The sequence below is a fragment of the Homo sapiens genome, chromosome 5 (genome assembly GCF_000001405.40).
Source record: "Homo sapiens chromosome 5, GRCh38.p14 Primary Assembly".
NCBI classification, from domain to species: domain Eukaryota; kingdom Metazoa; phylum Chordata; class Mammalia; order Primates; family Hominidae; genus Homo; species Homo sapiens.
In genome coordinates this window covers 116,762,649-116,780,387 of record NC_000005.10, presented here as the reverse complement: position 1 = coordinate 116,780,387, position 17,739 = coordinate 116,762,649, and the positions used below count along the sequence as shown (strand labels likewise).

Genomic DNA, 17,739 nt, shown 5'->3' with positions numbered 1-17,739 from the left:
TTCGAGACCAGCCTGGCCAACATAGTGAAACCCCATCTCTACTAAAAATACAAAAAAAATTTGGCTGGGTGTGGTGGTGCACGCTTGTAATCCTAGCTACTCAGGAGCCTGAGGCAGGAGAATTTCTTGAACCTGGGAGGCAGAGGTGGCAGTGAGCCAAGATGGTGCCACTGCACTCCAGCCTGGGCGTCAGAGCGAGATTCCATCTCAAAAAAAAGAAAAAGAAAATTTTTCCTCGTTTACAATCCAAATGTGAGCCGTTGTTCTATACAGATCCTTAGACACTCTACATTGTCGGAATGAGAAGGTCATGCCAAGATAGAAACACACATCAGCCTTGACTTGAAGAGTCATGAATGGGCACCACACTAAATGGGCTGTATTGTATTCTAGCCCTGTAAAAACTAACACTTTGCATGTCTTGTTGGCACTTTCAAGGAGCACTTTTTCTTTAAGGTTTTCGCATTTATCTGAATCTGTTATAAAACTATTCTTTGTGAAATTGGCTGGGATACTTTGTTTTCCTTCATAAATTTGCAAACATTCTTGATGTGTGTCTGAACTTGGCAAATAATTCATTTAAATACCAAATTATTGAACTTCTATTTTCATAATGCAAATGTTATAATTTAAGATGGTTATAAATAAGGATGCGTTCCCTGAGCACAGACCATGGACCCTATAACTGAGCCACAGATCTTGTCCATAGGATTCACCAAGTTCTTGTTCCATGATGTCTTCTGTAGCCTAAACCAGCCATTGGCCCTTATGTGACAGTTGCATTATATGACACATTTCAAAGGGAAAAACTTGATCTGCAATTTTGTACCTATCAGAAATGTGAAACTTCAATCTTCAGAAAAAAATTAGGAAAGCAGACATTTGTGACTAGACCAATTGTTAAATAACATTTTCTTTTTAAACATGATCAATATGGGGTGTCTTGGTTTCTGTTTTTGTTTTTTCAGATCAAAAAGCTCACTAAAAGTAACCTTTTGAGAAACTAAAAAAAAAAAAAAAAAAAAAAAAAAAAGACATTTGTAAATTTGGCCTAAAACATATGTAGTTGAAAGCCCTTGACTTCTGGCCTTTGTTTTTACTCTTTTCCAACAGCGCTTCAAAGTCAGAATCTGGTGGCTTTGGCAAAGCCATACTTTGAAGAGTGATGAGGAGGGAAGTCAATTAAAAACAGGTTGCAGGATGTTGCATTTCAACTAAAATGGCTGCTGATTTTTATGTATTGGAAGCTTTAAGCCATCAGTCTCAACTTCTTAATTGCAGTAAGATAATTAGCAGAAAATCATAACATCTTATCTTTCAGCAAAAGTTTTGGCTTGCAGTGATTCCTCCCCCCACCCTCTATTTTCTGAGAAGCATAATTATTGGTATAAGAGATCAAAGTAGCTACTTACAGGATACAGTCAGATTATACTCTTTAAAACTCTCCAGTTGTCTGTGTGCCTGGGCCAAACAACCCTTGCTGTACTGCAAATGACCCTCCCAGGCTGCATAAAAGACACATCAGGGGAAGGGAGACCAGAGGGCATCCATATGCAAAATGTTTCTTTGGAGACAGTAATTTAACACAATTGTAGGGGAAAATAGAATTTGTTTTATAAGCTGAGAACAATCAAATCAAGAAATGTCAAGAAACCTCTCCCGCTTTTCACCAAGCTGACTCAAATAAAAACAGGAATTCTTAATTAGAATCCCTTACTATTACCATTTGCTCTACTTGGACGTGACCCAGGGCCATTGAACTTGAACATTTTGTCAACGTTTTCAACAATCTTTGCTTCCCTTTGCTATCTGATGAAGGCATGTTTACCAGCCACATGGTGTGCCCCGTTTTATTAGGTGGGGTTGGTCTCAAAGGGGTTTTCTTTGCTCTGTGCCTAGGATTCTAAGGCTGTCTTCACCCCTTGTGATGTATAGACCCACCATTGGCAATAGATTCTATCAACCATGCCCGAGGTTTCACACAGGCTACTTTGTGCTTAGAGAGCCGTCTCTCCCAGCAGCAGGTAGGCTCCAAGCAGTGACAGACAGCCCACTGTGCATAGCTAACAAGTGCCTCACAGACTGCACTGCGATGCCTGTGGGTCTCTGAGGAGGGTCCTTACTCTGGCAGGCAGTGCCTCTGAGATCACAAGAGTTGGTGGGAACGCTCCCAGAGGGTAGGAAGGAGTGACCCGGCTGGCTGTGGGAGTTCTGTCCTTATGGCACAGCTTCTACCCAGATGCACGTCTCCCTCCAAGCGCCTGAGACCTCACACTGTTACAGCCAGTCAGCTGCAACAGCGAGTCACAGAGCCCGGAAGCAAGCATGGAAATGGAGATTTCCTCGTCTCTATTCAGCAGTCAGTAGCTCCCCTTCATCTTGAACCATTCAAAATGGAATGAAGAATGAGAATCAGTGTCATTGGAATTCCCTACATTCAGGATAATTTGATAATCTCTAATTTCTGGGTGCATTTTCTGGTTTCTGTGTACTTCTCAGAACTCTTGATTTAAAATAAATCATCATCATATTCTCTCAAATAGAGCCCCTAGAATAACTTTGGGGGAAGAGTTTGGAAGGCTAAGGAGAAGTTCTACCTGAAGCCCCCTGATCATGAGCCTGATTGGACGTGACTTCCTTTTTTTTTTTTTTCAAATGGATTCTCACTCTGTCACAATGCCCCCCTCCCAGGTTCAAGCAATTCTCCTGCCTCAGCCTCCAGAGTAGCTGAGATTACAGGTGCCTCCACCATTCCCAGCTAACTTTTTGGATTTTCAGTAGAGATGGGGTTTCACCATGTTGGCCAGGCTGGTTTCGTGTTGGCCAGGCTGGTTTCGAACTTCTGACCTCAAGTGATCCACCTGCCTTGGCTTCCCAAAGAGCTCAGATTACAAGCATGATCCATCGTGCCTGGCCTCACATAAAACTTACATTACATACATTTGTTATGCTTTTCTCTTGTTAATCTACCTTTAGTTATAGGCACCTCAACTATGAACCTAAAAATAGGTGAGTAAAGAAATCTTTTCCCTGCAACTCCAACAAACAGGAAAAAAAGTGTTAGGCTCCAGAACACAATACTTCAAAATACAGTACCCTGTGTGCTGAATATTTTGAACTGGAGGAGAATGGAAGGGCCTCAGAAGCAAAGTCTTTCGGACCTTCTCTCATCCTCCTGTCTTTCACCCCTCTATCTCCCCTCGAAATAATTTGTAGAAACCAGAATTCCTCTTCGCCAAGGCAGGTCACAGAAACTAGAACTCCTCTTCCCCAAAGCAAGCCATAAAGCCTAGAAAGGACATTCTTTGACTTTCTCCCTTCTCCTTTGAAGAGCCTCATGTGACAGGTGTCCGGTCTTATGTCCAGAAGGAAACGAATGCCACACAGAGATGCCAAGAAGAATCTAAATAGGCCATTGTTGGGTTTCCCCTCTCAGTCTATTACCATTAATTAGATCATACCCATTTGTCCAATCACATTTCTACAGAGCTGTTCATTTCTCATTCAACCTGAGCATAAAAATCGGCAGTTTTCCCTGGGTCTTTGGCTCTTCATTTCTGAAGTCACCCCTGTCACATACAACTTTGATTAAATAGATTGTTTGAGCTTTTCTCTTGTTGACCTGTCTTTTGTTTTGTTATTGGAGTGTAGGCTATGATCCTTAAGATGGATGAAGACAAGGTAACACCTTTCCACCCCTGTGTAAGTAAATAACTGTGGACTCCAAAGCATTTACCTTGCTTGTAGATTGAAAACAAATAATCAAAAAGAAAATAATTTATCAACAAAACTCAACTTGGAAGAAAAATGTAAAGCTTATCTTAGCAGTCTTTTATGTAATGGTAGAGTATCCATGGGCAGAAATAGCTTTAAATTACTGATTGAGAAGTGCAGTGAGTGATTTAGTGTCTGTGTCTATTGTAACAGATTGGGTTGGTTTTAGATAACTATTTCCTAACTTCAAACTTTTCTTTATGATATTCCTTTTCTCTTTTATCTTTGAACTTAAGGGAGGAGACCACACCTCACATTGTCTTATGCCCAATTTCTGCCTCCAAAGAAAGAAAAAGTAAAAACTAAAAGGCAGAAATGAAATCCACAAGCAGACAGCCCGGCGCCACACCCTGGGCCTGGTAGTTAAAGATCCACCCCTGACCTAATCGGTTATGTTATCTATAGATTACAGACATTGTATAGAAAAGCACTGTGAAAATCCCTATCCTTTTTTGTTCCGATCTAATTACCAGTACATGCAGCCCCTAGTCACGTAACCCCTGCTTGCTCAATCGATCACGACCCTCTCACGCATACCCCCTTAGAGTTGTGAGCCCTTAAAAGGGACAGGAATTGCTCATTCGGGGGCTCGGCTCTTCAGACAGGAGTCTTGCCGATGCCCCCGGCCGAATAAACCCCTTCCTTCTTTAACTCGGTGTCTGAGTAGTTTTGTCTGCAGCTTGTCCTGCTTGTCCTGCTACAAACTCTCTGACGGCCTACTAATTCAAACTCTTGGTTTCAGCTGCACCAAATTCAGTGGCAAATGGATATGAAAATTTAGAGTTTAGAGAGACCTTAGAGATCGTCCAGATGACTTGCTAAATAGTTGAGGGAACAAAAGCTCAGAAAGATCAAATGACCTGCTTGCCACAAATTACAGTAATTATTGGCAAATCCGGTTCTACTACCAATCTAGTGATCTTTCACCACATCCAGGACAGTCATAACCATAAGCCAAAAATGACAGAGAAACAGGTAGTAAACAGTTTCTAAAAATTAGCAATAAAAATAATAAATGGGATAATAAAGATAATCGTTCATGCATAAAATATAGTTTCAAAAAAAGAAGTTGGAGGTTAAAAACTATTTAGGTATTTTTCTTCATTTTATTTGCACTAATGTTGACTATGCCCATTCTATTCTAGGCACTTCACACATATTCCTTAATTTAATTCCCATACTAATTTCAAAGGTTTTTACTTTTTAATCTATAAAAATATAAAAAAGGTTCATAATCTTACTAGGCAAATAAACTATGTGGACATTTTAAAAATAAAAGTAACATACAGACCTGGCTAGGAAACCTAAATAACAGAGAAAAATATAAATTAAAAATGTTAACTTCCCTCCTCCTGCCCAACTTTCCATTCCTCTCCCTCAAGTTAACTTCTAACTGTTTTTTATAATTCCTATCCCCCTCATTATTAAGCACATATGGGGATGCATATCTCCTGATGTAAAATTCTTTTACTTATTACACCAAAGGAAATCTGATATACATATTGTTCTACATCTTGCTTTTATCCACTTAATATTTTTATATGTTTCTCCACATCAGCACATATGCCTCTACCTATCTTAAAAGTTTGTGTAATACACCATACTGCAGATATACTCTAATTTATTTAACCACTCCCCTATTCGTAGTATGAGGGCTGTTTCTGTTTTTTTCTATTAGGTTAGCATTATTCATCTCATTTTACAAGTAGAGAAACCAGAGCTCAACAAGGATAAGCAAATTAATTGCTTGATATTTCTCTGCTAAGAAGGCACCAGGGCTACCAACTAAATTCACATCTGTATGTCTTAAGTCCTTGATTTTTTCCTTTATTCTAAATATTTACCCAGACAACCCAAAGCACTTGATCTGCTAATCAGACAGTAGAGTTTTTTGGTCATTCCATCAACACCTCTCAGCTAGGAATTCTTTTTTTTTCCTCTGTAGTGTTCATAGGAATTTGTCCAAAGTTATACTGTTAGAATGACCTAAGCAGTTACAAACAAGTTATTTGGGAAACACTCCTGTCATTTTTCTGTATTAAATTAAAATTGACCCAATTAAATAGGAGAGTTTCTCTTTTGGAACAATGGAGAAATGTGACTTCTTCTCCTCCACCCTGGGTGAGGAAGAGTGGAGGGGATAAAAAGAGCCCACATTTCCTTCCACACTAGCAGAGAATGGAGACTGGTTCTCACAACCACTAACTATGCAACTATGCAGGGAGGGGGTAAGAGGCCCACATGGTAATGAAGAAAATGCTGGGACCTCAACTGCTTTGGTGATTTGGGGCACCAAACTCACTAATTATATGGAAAGAAGAAGGAGATAGATTCTCTACTGTACAAGGAGGGGAAATGGCCACAATAGGGCCACACAAGTTAACCCAGCCTCCAATACAGGACAATTTCACACTTTCCTGCAGGGGGTTAATGACTTTGTGTGTGTGGCTGTCCCAGAGAATTAGTCCCCTCTTCCGGAAGCCTTTAACTCCTGTCAATAAGCCTTCCGTTGCTATACAAAGCTATTGAGCCTCCTGAATAATTCCATGCAAGGTAAAGTGCCCTGCCTTCCGACCTTTTTGTAAAGTATTGTGCTGTTGCTTGTCCTTGTTACGGCAGAATATTTCACCTTCTTCTTGTAAATAGCTACCACTTCAGAAGGCTTGTGCGGTGATCACTCACAGCAAGGCCACCGAATGGCCAGCTGTACTGGGAGTTGCCCTAACATTCACTGGCCTTACTGTTCACAGACCCTTGCTAAACTCTCAGCCCTTCCATGCAAACCAATAATACACTTGTCACAGTGTAACCCTTGCACACCAAAAAAGTCTGAAAAACTGGAGTAGGAGCTCAAGGTATAAGCACTATTCAAAGTAGTACTGCCTTCCAAGACCAGGTGGGAAGGGTAACAATTCCACAGATTACAGTGGTGGAATGATATTTTAACATATATTTACCCAAATTGAATAAATCCAGGCATTATGTGACCAGATTGTTAAGTGAAGACTGAAGATTTGCTCAGTGTTATGGAAACACATCTTCTAAGAACCTAAGTGGTTTCTAACTTTCAATCACCCTGAAATAGTGACTTCTCAAGTCAATTTGGATAGTTTCTCCCTCCACCCTAGCTATAATAATTTTGCACAATGATTTACGGTTTTACAATGGTTTCACATATGTCATTTTATTTGACACTAAAAAAATGGTTTGTAACAGCCCTAACTTGTATTTGTTTGACACTGTTTTATACTGGAAAAACACAGCTCAGGATTTGTTCAAGTAGATGATCAGAGGCCATCCATCAGCTTTCTAATGTTTGCTCACCTACTTCCCAAACCTCTGGGAAAAACTTGTAAGCTGTTGTTATAAGAAAAAAACTGCTTACCTTCTCTTCCTGCTCTGGGATTAGCTCCCCACATGTAAGTACTGGAAAGAAGTGAGAAGATATTTTGCTTCAAACAGAGTTACATCCCTAAAGAGCTACAAATCCTGGTTTTATACAATCTGAGGCCCATCAGGAGTCTGAATAACACTCAGAAGCTGTTCTCGTTGAGAGCATCTACATTTGCCAAGAGCCCAAACGTGTAGACAGCAGACAACTGAACAGTGCCAAGGAAGATGTTGAGTGGAATGAGTGAACTGCAAACCTGGGACAAATAACACATTACTTGAGTAGAAAAGCTGAGAGTTTTAAAGACGTATGGTCCTTGCTGTCAGATCTTTATGACTTATCCACTGGGGCTTTGTCTGTTTATATGTGCAGTTCACTCATTGTCTTTCCATTTATATTTGGTTTATGTATAGGGGGCTTAACGCCTGTGTATGTATATGGTTGGCAAATCTCCCTCTGGTGTGTCTGTTTTTATTCTTCAACCTAAAATACTTCTAAAGACCTTCCATTTTAAATTGCACACTAAAATCAGTGGCTAAATGAAAGCATCTTTTTAGCGATTGTCTGTCTCTGCTTTATGCTGGGGTTAACCCACTCCATGTTTTAAAATTGGACTTGGAAAATATGGTCCATAAAGTTGGGGAAGGAGTACTCAGATGTACAGCCAGACACCTATTTCCAAAATAACACAGCAGTCTTTGCAAATGTCCCCAGATGGCCTCAGTAATCTAAATTGCAGATAAGAAAATCACTCTGGGTTATTAGAGAGGAAAGTTTTACCTTCAAGGTAAAAGGAAGATGATCTTTCAAGCTTAGAAATGCAACTAATAGATTCCATCTGCAAATTCAGCTCTCCAGAGAGGTCTCGGGAGCAGCCATTTTCCCCTGTCTAGGACCCAGTACAGTTTTAGCTGGAGGGATAATTTGGAAGAGAAAAATAAACATTAGCATAGCCAAGTAGATGATCTGAGTTCAGACATGTCTGCCCAGTACCCAAAACATTCTAAAAGTAAAAAAAATAAAAAGAACAGTAGGGTGAGTTGGTAACTTTGTCATTTAATCCAAAGAGTCTAGTTGTCCATCTTTATCTTGTTACTAGTTATTCAGACTTCAAACATTTGAGAATGATTTTGATGTAGGAGGCGTTCAATCCAGTTTGTGCTCACGATAGAACTGCATTGTGCAATTTTAATTAAAAATTTAGGGTTTCACAACCTCTGAATCACTTCACTCTATTTTTCTGTTTTGTTTTGTTTTTGCAGTTCCAACATGTTTTCCAGGGATAGTATGTTGATTAGTCAAAGTCATGTGTATATTCCTTCACATTTAGAATTTACCCTTCATGCTAACATTACCTAACTAGACATTGTCTATGAATGAATGCTATACATTCACTTAAAACATCACTAGGGAGTAATGAATCTTGTCTGCACAGAACAGGAAAGGTAACCCTGCTGTCTGGCCTTCAGCCTCTCACTGCCCCACTCTCTTGGGGCATTCAGGAAACCGCTGTGTTGAGAACGCATTCCTGGACAACAGAACTTACATTGTTCCACGGCTTCCAGAACCGGCTTTGGGTGTTGCTGCGAAATCTTCACCCTGTGTCTGCAGCAGCTGCCTTCTCCTGACAATCACTTCCATATGCCCCATTTTAGAGCTAGGAGGAAAAGTACTTCGGGCTCAGTTTGGCCACACACATTGAAGAGGACCCTCTCACGCTAAAGTGGCATTAAAAAATGTTTTATGGTATTTTCTTAAAAGCTAGGTTTTCACAGAGGTCTTCAGTCTAGGCAAACCCTAACGTTTTTGTTAAAATAATAGTATCTTATAAGCAAAAGAGCTTTCCTCTTTTTTTGAAGAACGCAATAAGAGAATCCAGCCCTTCAGAGATAAACCTCCAGGTCCAAGGTGTGTCTTCAGCAAAGCCATGTTCTGCAGCCCCTCTGTACCTGAAGAGGGAATCTGGCTTTAAGCTAGAGCAGACAGTCAGCATAGGAGCTACTGGTTCCTGGAGAGCTAAAAACGTTGGTGCACAGCAGGTTTCACAAAAACATTCACAGCCACTGAGTACCTGATGCTACAGCACATTTGTCAGGAACATTAAGGCCTCTGCTTGGTTACCATCAAGGGCTTTTTCTAAGGTAAATCTGATCTACTATGAAACAAAGGAGATGCAAATTAGAAAGGGTGGCAAGTAGGTGGGTTTCTTTCTTGGCATCTCAGGGAAGTAAACTTCTGAGTCAGACATATCCTGTTTTGTTTTATTTTGTTTCTCCATGTTCAGCAGACATCTCTAGGTGAATTTTTTTTTTTTTGAGATGGAGTCTTGCTCTGTTGCCCAGGCTGGAGTGCAGTGGCACGATCTTGGCTCACTGCAACCTCTGCCTCCCGGGTTCAAGCGATTCTCCTGCCTTAGCCTCCCAAGTAGCTGGGACTAGAGGTGTGCACCACCACGCCCAGCTAATTTTTGTATTTTTTACTAGAGACAGGGTTTCACCGCGTTAGCCAGGCTGGTCTCGAACTCCTGACCTCGTGATCCACCTGCCTCGGCCTCCTAAAGTGCTGGGATTACAAGCGTGAGCCACTGTGCCCGGCCTTCCCAGTGAATTTTAAATGGGTGAATATAAGATGTTAGTTTACATGCATGTACGCTATTTTAAGCAAGCATAATTAATGAAAATACATGTGGACATGAAAAATCGTGTTAATTCATTTGCAAAGGAATCTTTACTGCTTTACGACAACATTTCTAAAAGTGCTGAAGGTGTGGTCTTTCTTATTATATTTAAAATTCACTTGGTTAACCAAAAGTGCCCAAATTTTTCCCAACCTAGTGTCCTAAGTTAGATCTATCTACTTCAGAAAATATGTTTACTCTGTTTTTTTTGTTTTTTTGAGACAAGGTCTCACTCTGTCACTTGGGCTGGAGTGCAGTGGTGCAATTATGGCTTACTGCAGCCTTGACCTCCTGGGCTCAAGTGATCCTACCATTTCAGCCACCTATAGCTGGGACTACAGGCACATGCCACCATGCCCAGCTAATTTTTTGTAGAGATGGGGTCTCACTGTGTTGCCCAGGCTGGTCTTGAACTCTTGGGCCCAAGTGATCCTCCTGCCTTGCCCTTCCAAAGTGCTAGGATTACAGGAGTGAGCCACCGCTCCTGGCCTACTCTCATTAATGCTGAGAAATAAAGCTAAATGATTGCCTGAAGCACAGAATAATACTTAATTTTAAGAATTAGTATCAAATGGCCAGGTGCGGTGCCTCACGCCTGTAATCCCAGCACCTTGGGAGGCTGAGGTGGGCAGATCACGAGGTCAGGAGATGGAGACCATCCTGGCTTACACGTTGAAACCCCGTCTCTACTAAAAATACAAAAAATTAGCCAGGCGTGGTCGCACGCACCTGCTGTCCCAGCTACTCAGGAGGCTGAGACAGGAGAATCACTTAAACCTGAGAGGCGGAGGTTGCGGTGAGCCAAGATTGCACCACAGCACTTCAGCCTGGATGACAGAGACTCTGTCTCAAAAAAAAAAAAGAAATAGATTTAGTATCATAGTCATATGGACTTGGACCCCTGCTCTATGCAGGGCTTTGTACTGGGCACTGTGTACTCTACAGAGAGAGAAAGTGTGATTCACAGTTGCTTGACATAAGATAATACTGAAGATTCCGAGTAAATGATTTTTTCCCAAGATCATGAAGCAAATCAATTACAGTCTGGCTTTAAATCAAAGTCACTCTGCCATATCACCAGTCAAACACTTCTTGAATTTTGACATCATTCTTCTTTACCCTGGTCCTTGGTTAGCCTTTAGCCATAGCAAACCTTTCGACCTAAGTGATAACCACAGGAAAAGTGAAATAGGTGAAGCCTAAATATCTGCTAAGAGGTAAGTAAAGGCATTGATGTAAAGGATAGACTAGCAAATATTCAGTGAAATTATGAAATAATTCGTAAGGTCTCTTTTGAGTGAAGGGGGAACTTTTAAGTAATGGTATACCTTTAGTGGAACCCAGTCATTTGCTATTTCTTGAAATGTTTATAAAAGTCGGCTTGTTCCCTGAAACTGGACTGATTTTTAGGTCAAACTTAATGTGCCACATGATTTTGCTTAAGATATTACTTTTCTACATCTGTTAGGCAACTAAATAGAGAAAGACATGATTTAGGACCAAGGTGTTTTTTTTGTTTGTTTGTTTGTTTTTTCACCATTAAGTCATAACCTTAAACAAAAGAACTTAGTGAACTGTGATTTTAGGTCATCTACTAAGGAGATACAGCAAGCCCCAAAGTCTAATCAACCTGAATTTATGTTTGAGGGGAAAAAAATGAAACAAACAATCCTAGGTTTGTCATCTTCTTAAGTCGCATCCCATTTAGAGAGTCTCTCTTGCCACAATGTCAAATGTCATTAGGTTTGACATACATAATTGCATTAAGCTGCAGTGATGATCCCTAATGAGACATTGAATTTCCTCCCAAAAAATCAGTCACCAAAGCACATTTTCTTATGATGAATTAATTAATAAAATACAAGACTTCTTATGCAAAATATATACCAGGGATTCCCAAGTGTGTTGATGCCCTAACTACTCTGAATAAAAAAGCTGAAGCTTAAGGATAATACAGTCACGAACACTGGGATTCCCACGGATGCAGGCAATTTCACAAGCCTTCTCTTATAAAATAAGAAGTGTGGGCTATGCCATGACCAAGGTAAGCACAGGAGGACCAGACCATTGTCAGGAGGGCTGTCCAATCTAACAATGAAGAGGAGCCACTCATCCTCCCCAGCATGTTCTGTAGTCTTTCAGAGATGAACATTACTGTCTGGCTAATGTTGACTGACTTCTTTGAAGACAGCAATTACGAACTGTTATTTTTGAAGAGCCAGATATACATAGATGCATATTTTTTTCATTAGAAAATACCTGCTCTGAGTATACTCTGGTAAGATTGCAAAGGAGTTACACATGTAAGTCCCTATGAAACAAGATGAAAGGACAGTCTGAAATATTTATCAGCCACTGTTACCCTGGAGCAGAATTAGCCCCTATTTGTTCCAAAGTGCTCTGCAAAATAATGATTTGGACCTTGGGAGAGAACTGATTATGCAAGTAAGAATTTAGCATCCATTAGGCACTCAGCGTCAACATGCCCAGCCTTGGACCCTGGTTACTATTGTGAGAGGATCATTGTCAGGACACCATGGAACTCCTCAGCCATGCAGAAAAGTGTTTCAACTTTTTTTTTTTTTTGAGATGGAGTCTTGCTCTGTGGCCCAGGCTGGAGTGCAGTAGCGTGATCTTAGCTCACTGCAACCTCCACCTCCCAGGTTCAAGCAATTCTCCTGCCTCAGCCTCCTGAGTAGCTAGGACTACAGGCGCCTACCACCACGGCCAGCTAATTTTTTTTTTTTTTTTTTTTTTTTTTGAGACAGAGTTTTGCTCTTGTTGCCCAGGCTGGAGTGCCATGGCACGATCTTAGCTCACCACAACCTCCGCCTCCTGGGTTGAAGTGATTCTCCTGTCTCAGCCTCTCGAGTAGCTGGGATTACAGGCATGTGCCACCATGCCTGGCTAATTTTGTATTTTTAGTAGAGACAGGGTTTTTCCATGTTGGTCAGGCTGGTTTCGAACTCCCGACCTCAGGTGATCCGCCCACCTTGGCCTCCCAAAGTGCTGGAATTACAGGTGTGAGCCACTGCCCCCGGCCACGCCCAGCTAATTTTTTTTTTTTTTTTTTTTTTTTTTTTTTTGTATTTTTAGTAGAGACAGGGTTTCACCATATTGGCCAGGCTGGTCTCAAACTCCTGACCTTGTGATCCACCCGCCTCAGCCTCCCAAACTGCTGGGATTACAGGCATGAGCCACTGGCCCTGGCCAAAAGAGTTCCAACTTTAAAGAAAAAGCCTGTGGACAGAAGTGTCAGCCTAGACTCTTGTTCTCATATCATCCTTTTGGCACCGAAAAAAATTTTGTAGTACAAATTCTGGTGTCTGGCTATCAGACTTGGTTAAGTTATACAGCAGAACTAGAGAAGCCCCCCATATTACCCAATTCTTTTTTTTTTATATATACTTCAAGTTCTAGGGTACATGTGCACAACGTGCAGGTTTGTTACATATGTATACATGTGCCATGTTGGTGTGCTGCACCCATTAACTTCTCATTTACATTAGGTATATCTCCTAATGCTATCCCTCCCCACTCCCCCGACCCCACAACGGCCCCGGTGTGTGATGTTCCCCTCCTCTGTCCAAGTGTTCTCATTGTTCAACTCCCACCTATGAGTGAGAACATGCGGTGTTTGGTTTTTTTGTCCTCGCAGCAAATTACCCAGTTCTTTGGAGAGTCTTATCTCCTAAATGAACAGGACTCAGACCACAGGAGTCCTCCTGCAGCATTTAGTGATGTCAACACTGGATGCAAACCCAACACCGGGAGCCCACAGCTCTTTGCTTCAGAGATGAGTAATACTGGCTGAGTCATTGTTTCTATCTGCCTTTTCAATGCTCTCTCCAAAAAGTATCTCGTAATAGACAATCTCTGAGCTCACTGCTTACTGTAATACTTCTTATGTAATAATGCTGGTGGTGAGCAATCTCCTGTAGTATTCCATGACAGCAACACTGACTGTGCTGTGTTAACCTCGATTAATGTTATTATTTGTACACCATAAGGGTACGTTTTGTTTTTCTATTATCTCTTATATTTAGACTGGGAGGCATTGTTCTGTCATCCTTGTTTTATTTTAAGAAATCGAACCATAAGGAGGTTAAGCAATTTCTTCAAATTCATGTAGCTTGTGAACTTTGAGCCTGTGCTTCCTGTTCATTGAGTCACATTATCTCAATTTAAAATTGGCTGCGTTTTAAGTAAAGAAAATTTAAATTAAAAAAAAAGAAGAAGAAAGAAAGCAAGCCATCCAGAGAAGCAGTGCACAGTGGTAATAATGTGCTAATGTGCTGATGGAGTTCAGGACAAGCTGCCCCAAAGTACGGCACCTTGGCATTTGAGAAAACAGCAGAAGCAGGAAGGTCACCCTCGCCTTCTCCTGCTCTTCTCCCCTAAAGCAGGTCCTAAAACCTAGGAAGAATTTTCTGACCCTCCTCTGAAGGAGATCACAAGACCCTCATGTGAACTGTGCCCTCCCAATACTGGTAGGAAAGAACATCCTTATTTCTGAAGAAAAAGGGTCACAGAGAAGAATCTGAACAAACAGTCCATGCTAAGTACCCTCCCACACACAGTTTATTACCATTAAATCATACTTTTTTTTTACCCAATCATACTTCTTCATAACTATCCACTTCTTCATCAAAAATCTACCATAAAAATACACCAGCTTTCTCATTTCTTCAGGCCTTCATTTCCTTTAAAGACTCCTGTGTCATGTTAAACTTCCAATAACTAAGTGTGTATATGTTTTCCACTCATTAATTTATCTTTTGTTACAGGGGCCTCATCCATGAACCTAGTGATGGATGAGAAAAATATATTTTTCTTCCCCTACAGTGCATACAGGCTTTGGATTCTGAGTCATTCAGTCAACAAATGCTTATTGAACACGGGCTGTGTGCCAGGCATGCAGTAAAGCAGGAAGGAAAGACCCTTGCTGTCATGGGGTCCATACACTTGAGTCTGGGGTTAGAAATGGGGAGAAACAGACAAACTGAAACACAGTATAAACACATAGATAAGAGAGAAATAAACAAGGAATGCCAGATGGCTGTAAAGGCAATGTTGGGCACCACTGTGGTGTGATATGATGGAGAATGACCTAGTGGTTGCCATCTGAGGGTGCTTGCCACAAACAGCCTTGAAGGAAAGCCCTGATTTTCTATCTTATCTTTATAAACACTTCGAAATTCAAACGCCATTAAACTGATTTTAAAATGGACCTGTGTCTTATTTATTTATGTCAGCCACAGTCATAACAAGGAAGTAGGGGTGCGGGGTGGGGAGGGGGGGAACAGGGGAGAATGTTCTAAGCAAAGGGAGCAGCAAGTGTAGCAGAGGTGACAGACAGGCTGAGCTCCAGACTCAGCTCTAACCCTCTCTGGTTGAATGACTTCAAGCATGTTACCAACATACCTAGGTCCTTTGTGAAAGGCCCTTTAAAAGAGAGACAATTTCTAACTCATAGGAACTTACGTAAATTAAATGACACCAGCACATAGCAGTTACTCATAAAAGGTAGTTGATTTCCTACCTTATCTTGATAAATCCTTTAAGATTCAAAGACCATTAAACTCTGATTTAGAAATTGTCCTATGTCTTATTTATTTATTTATTTATCTTCCTGAGCAGGGGGCAGCTATAAGAGCAGCAGGAAATGTGAAATCAGAGATGATCTAGGTTATGAGTTCTTGGAAATCAGGGATAAATTTATTTATAGGAGGAAACAAACAAGATGCCATTCTTTTGGGGACAAGGGTGACTTCTCCATTAGATGCAGTACGATAGTGCCTAGGACCCACGATCCTTTGCAGAAAAGGGGAGCTCCACAAAAATCTTCTAATTTCTTTAAGATTAGCAGAAAATAAAAAAGAATTCTTAGGTGTATTTTAATATAGAACATCATAAGTTTGTCTTTATAGCAGCACACTCGTAAACTTTCATTTTTAATGTTACCTTATGGAGACAGGACCTCCAAAGACAAAGTCCCTAGGCCTTACAAAATCCGTATCCCAGCTGACTGGGGAAGAGAGTGTTCCTTTACTGCTCCTGATCTCTTCGCCTCCATCCGCGCCTGCGGCTTCCTTCACCGGCTCCGCTGCCCACCTTCTTCCTTAGCCATCTTGCCTTATATTACTGCCTATGCCCAGCCCCTGCTTTTTTTTTAAATCACCCAACCCAGATTTTTACGCAATTTCCCATTTCCCACAGCTTAGATTTCGTAAGAAAATCCCCTACAGGTGGTATGGCCACGGCAGGCCAGCCCAGCCCAGAGGCACTTAAGCACACGGAGCAGGGAGCACGCGGAGCTACGTGCTTCAGGCCACATCATTTTCACAGGGAATCCCCACAGGCCTGGTCCTTTGGCAGCCTGGGTGCTAAATGCAAGCCACAGCAGGTTTCGATTTTCAACTGCAATGACTTATGTTCTTGGTCCTAAGAATTCACAAATTGTTAAAGTCAATAATGAGACATATTCTCACCGCTGCAGTGGGGTTGTTTCTTGGCTTGATGTTTTGTTTTGCTTTGGCTTCCCAAGAAGTGTCTGAACTGTCTGTACTCTAAAAACTTACCACAGAGGTAAGCTGTGTGGACAGGGTGCTGGATGTAGATGCCAGCCAAAAAAAAAATTTAAAACTGGGCCGGGCGCGGTGGCTCACGCCTGTAATCCCAGCACTTAGGGAGGCCGAGGCGGGCAGATCACCTGAGGTCGGGAGTTCGAGACCAGCCTGGCCAGCATGGTGAAACCCTGTCTCTAATAAAAACACAAAAATTAGCCAGGCGTGGTGAAGGCACCTGTAATCCCAGCTACTCGGGAAACTGAGGCAGGAGAATCACTTGAACCGGGGAGGCGGAGGTTGCGGTGAGCCGAGATCACACCATTGCACTCCAGCCTGGGCAACAGAGCAAGACTCTGTTTAAAAAAAAAAAAAAAATTCTAAAACTAAAAAAAATTCCCCTCAGAGATTGAGCCCTTAACTAGGGCAATCCCCAGGTGAACTTACAAAACTAGCTAAGAGTATCACATCCCCAGCAAAACTGAGGCTTCCTCAGCTCTGAGCCTGCAGCCCTAACATCTCCCAAACAAAACTTCATCTCAAGGAAACACTGTCACTCATTTACATTCTACCAGGAGGTGAGCTCTCCTTGTCACGTAGTCTAGAGACACTTACATTTGGATTCTGATTTTAATTATATAAAGGCTGTAAGGGATTTTATGATGTACCAAGAAATAAGTAGAAGTATCCTATTTGGGGGCTGCAGTGACCTTCTCTAAAGCTGAAGTTATTTTACCTTTTTTAAAATTATTTTTTTAATGATATAAGAAATACATGAATACATTTTCCTTTTCACATTAAAACAACATGTATAAGGCTTAAATTCTGTTTTGCTTATTCTTGCACATTCTTAGTAGCTTCATGTTCTCTTCCTCCTGGGGGTATCGGTATGGATTTGAATGCATCTTTCAAATGTTGTTATATTCACGTACACCCATGTGTGTGTACCCACAGGGAAAAGATATATATATGGTATTGCTTGGTGATTGCCCCTTACATAAATGAAGTAAAAAAATACACTGTGTATTTTTGCTGCACCATGTTAGAACTTACTTTATGTCTCATTTTTAACTATGCTATTATATTTATCATATAAAACTACAGTTTGTTTAGCCACTACCCTGTTGATGGGCCTGTAATCTTAACCTTATAGGTAAGTGCCTTTCTCAGTCCTCTTCCCAATCCAGGCACCTGGCCACAATTATGGCATAGGAAGGATCTAGTTAATATACTAGAAACATAAGATTCGAGTATCAGACTTTCAGGGCTATATTTTGAAAAAGCAACAAAGTTCCAAGAAAAAAGTTTCCTTTCATTTGGTGGTAAAAGCC

General features: G+C 41.1%; 1 long non-coding RNA gene across 1 annotated transcript in view, besides 4 other annotated features; it reads right to left on the bottom strand.

Annotated features, from left to right (window-relative positions):
* LOC105379133 (uncharacterized) overlaps positions 1-15,954 on the bottom strand; it is a 49,950-nt gene extending 33,996 nt beyond the window's left edge. The window contains exon 1 of the long non-coding RNA XR_948689.3: positions 15,807-15,954. This is a non-coding gene — a long non-coding RNA (uncharacterized LOC105379133). The remainder of the gene's footprint in view (positions 1-15,806) is intronic.
* Positions 8,829-9,491: an enhancer, noted in NCBI's record as "OCT4-NANOG-H3K27ac-H3K4me1 hESC enhancer chr5:116106593-116107255 (GRCh37/hg19 assembly coordinates)". NCBI's record gives its function as "activates a minimal SCP1, AML or CMV promoter by ChIP-STARR-seq in naive H9 embryonic stem cells {active_cell/tissue: H9 hESC(naive)}" and the evidence as "EXISTENCE:reporter gene assay evidence [ECO:0000049][PMID:30033119]".
* Positions 15,823-16,112: an enhancer, noted in NCBI's record as "active region_22952". NCBI's record gives its function as "activates an Ori minimal core promoter by ATAC-STARR-seq in GM12878 lymphoblastoid cells {active_cell/tissue: GM12878}" and the evidence as "EXISTENCE:reporter gene assay evidence [ECO:0000049][PMID:35858748]".
* Positions 16,223-16,382: an enhancer, noted in NCBI's record as "active region_22951". NCBI's record gives its function as "activates an Ori minimal core promoter by ATAC-STARR-seq in GM12878 lymphoblastoid cells {active_cell/tissue: GM12878}" and the evidence as "EXISTENCE:reporter gene assay evidence [ECO:0000049][PMID:35858748]".
* Positions 16,393-16,442: an enhancer, noted in NCBI's record as "active region_22950". NCBI's record gives its function as "activates an Ori minimal core promoter by ATAC-STARR-seq in GM12878 lymphoblastoid cells {active_cell/tissue: GM12878}" and the evidence as "EXISTENCE:reporter gene assay evidence [ECO:0000049][PMID:35858748]".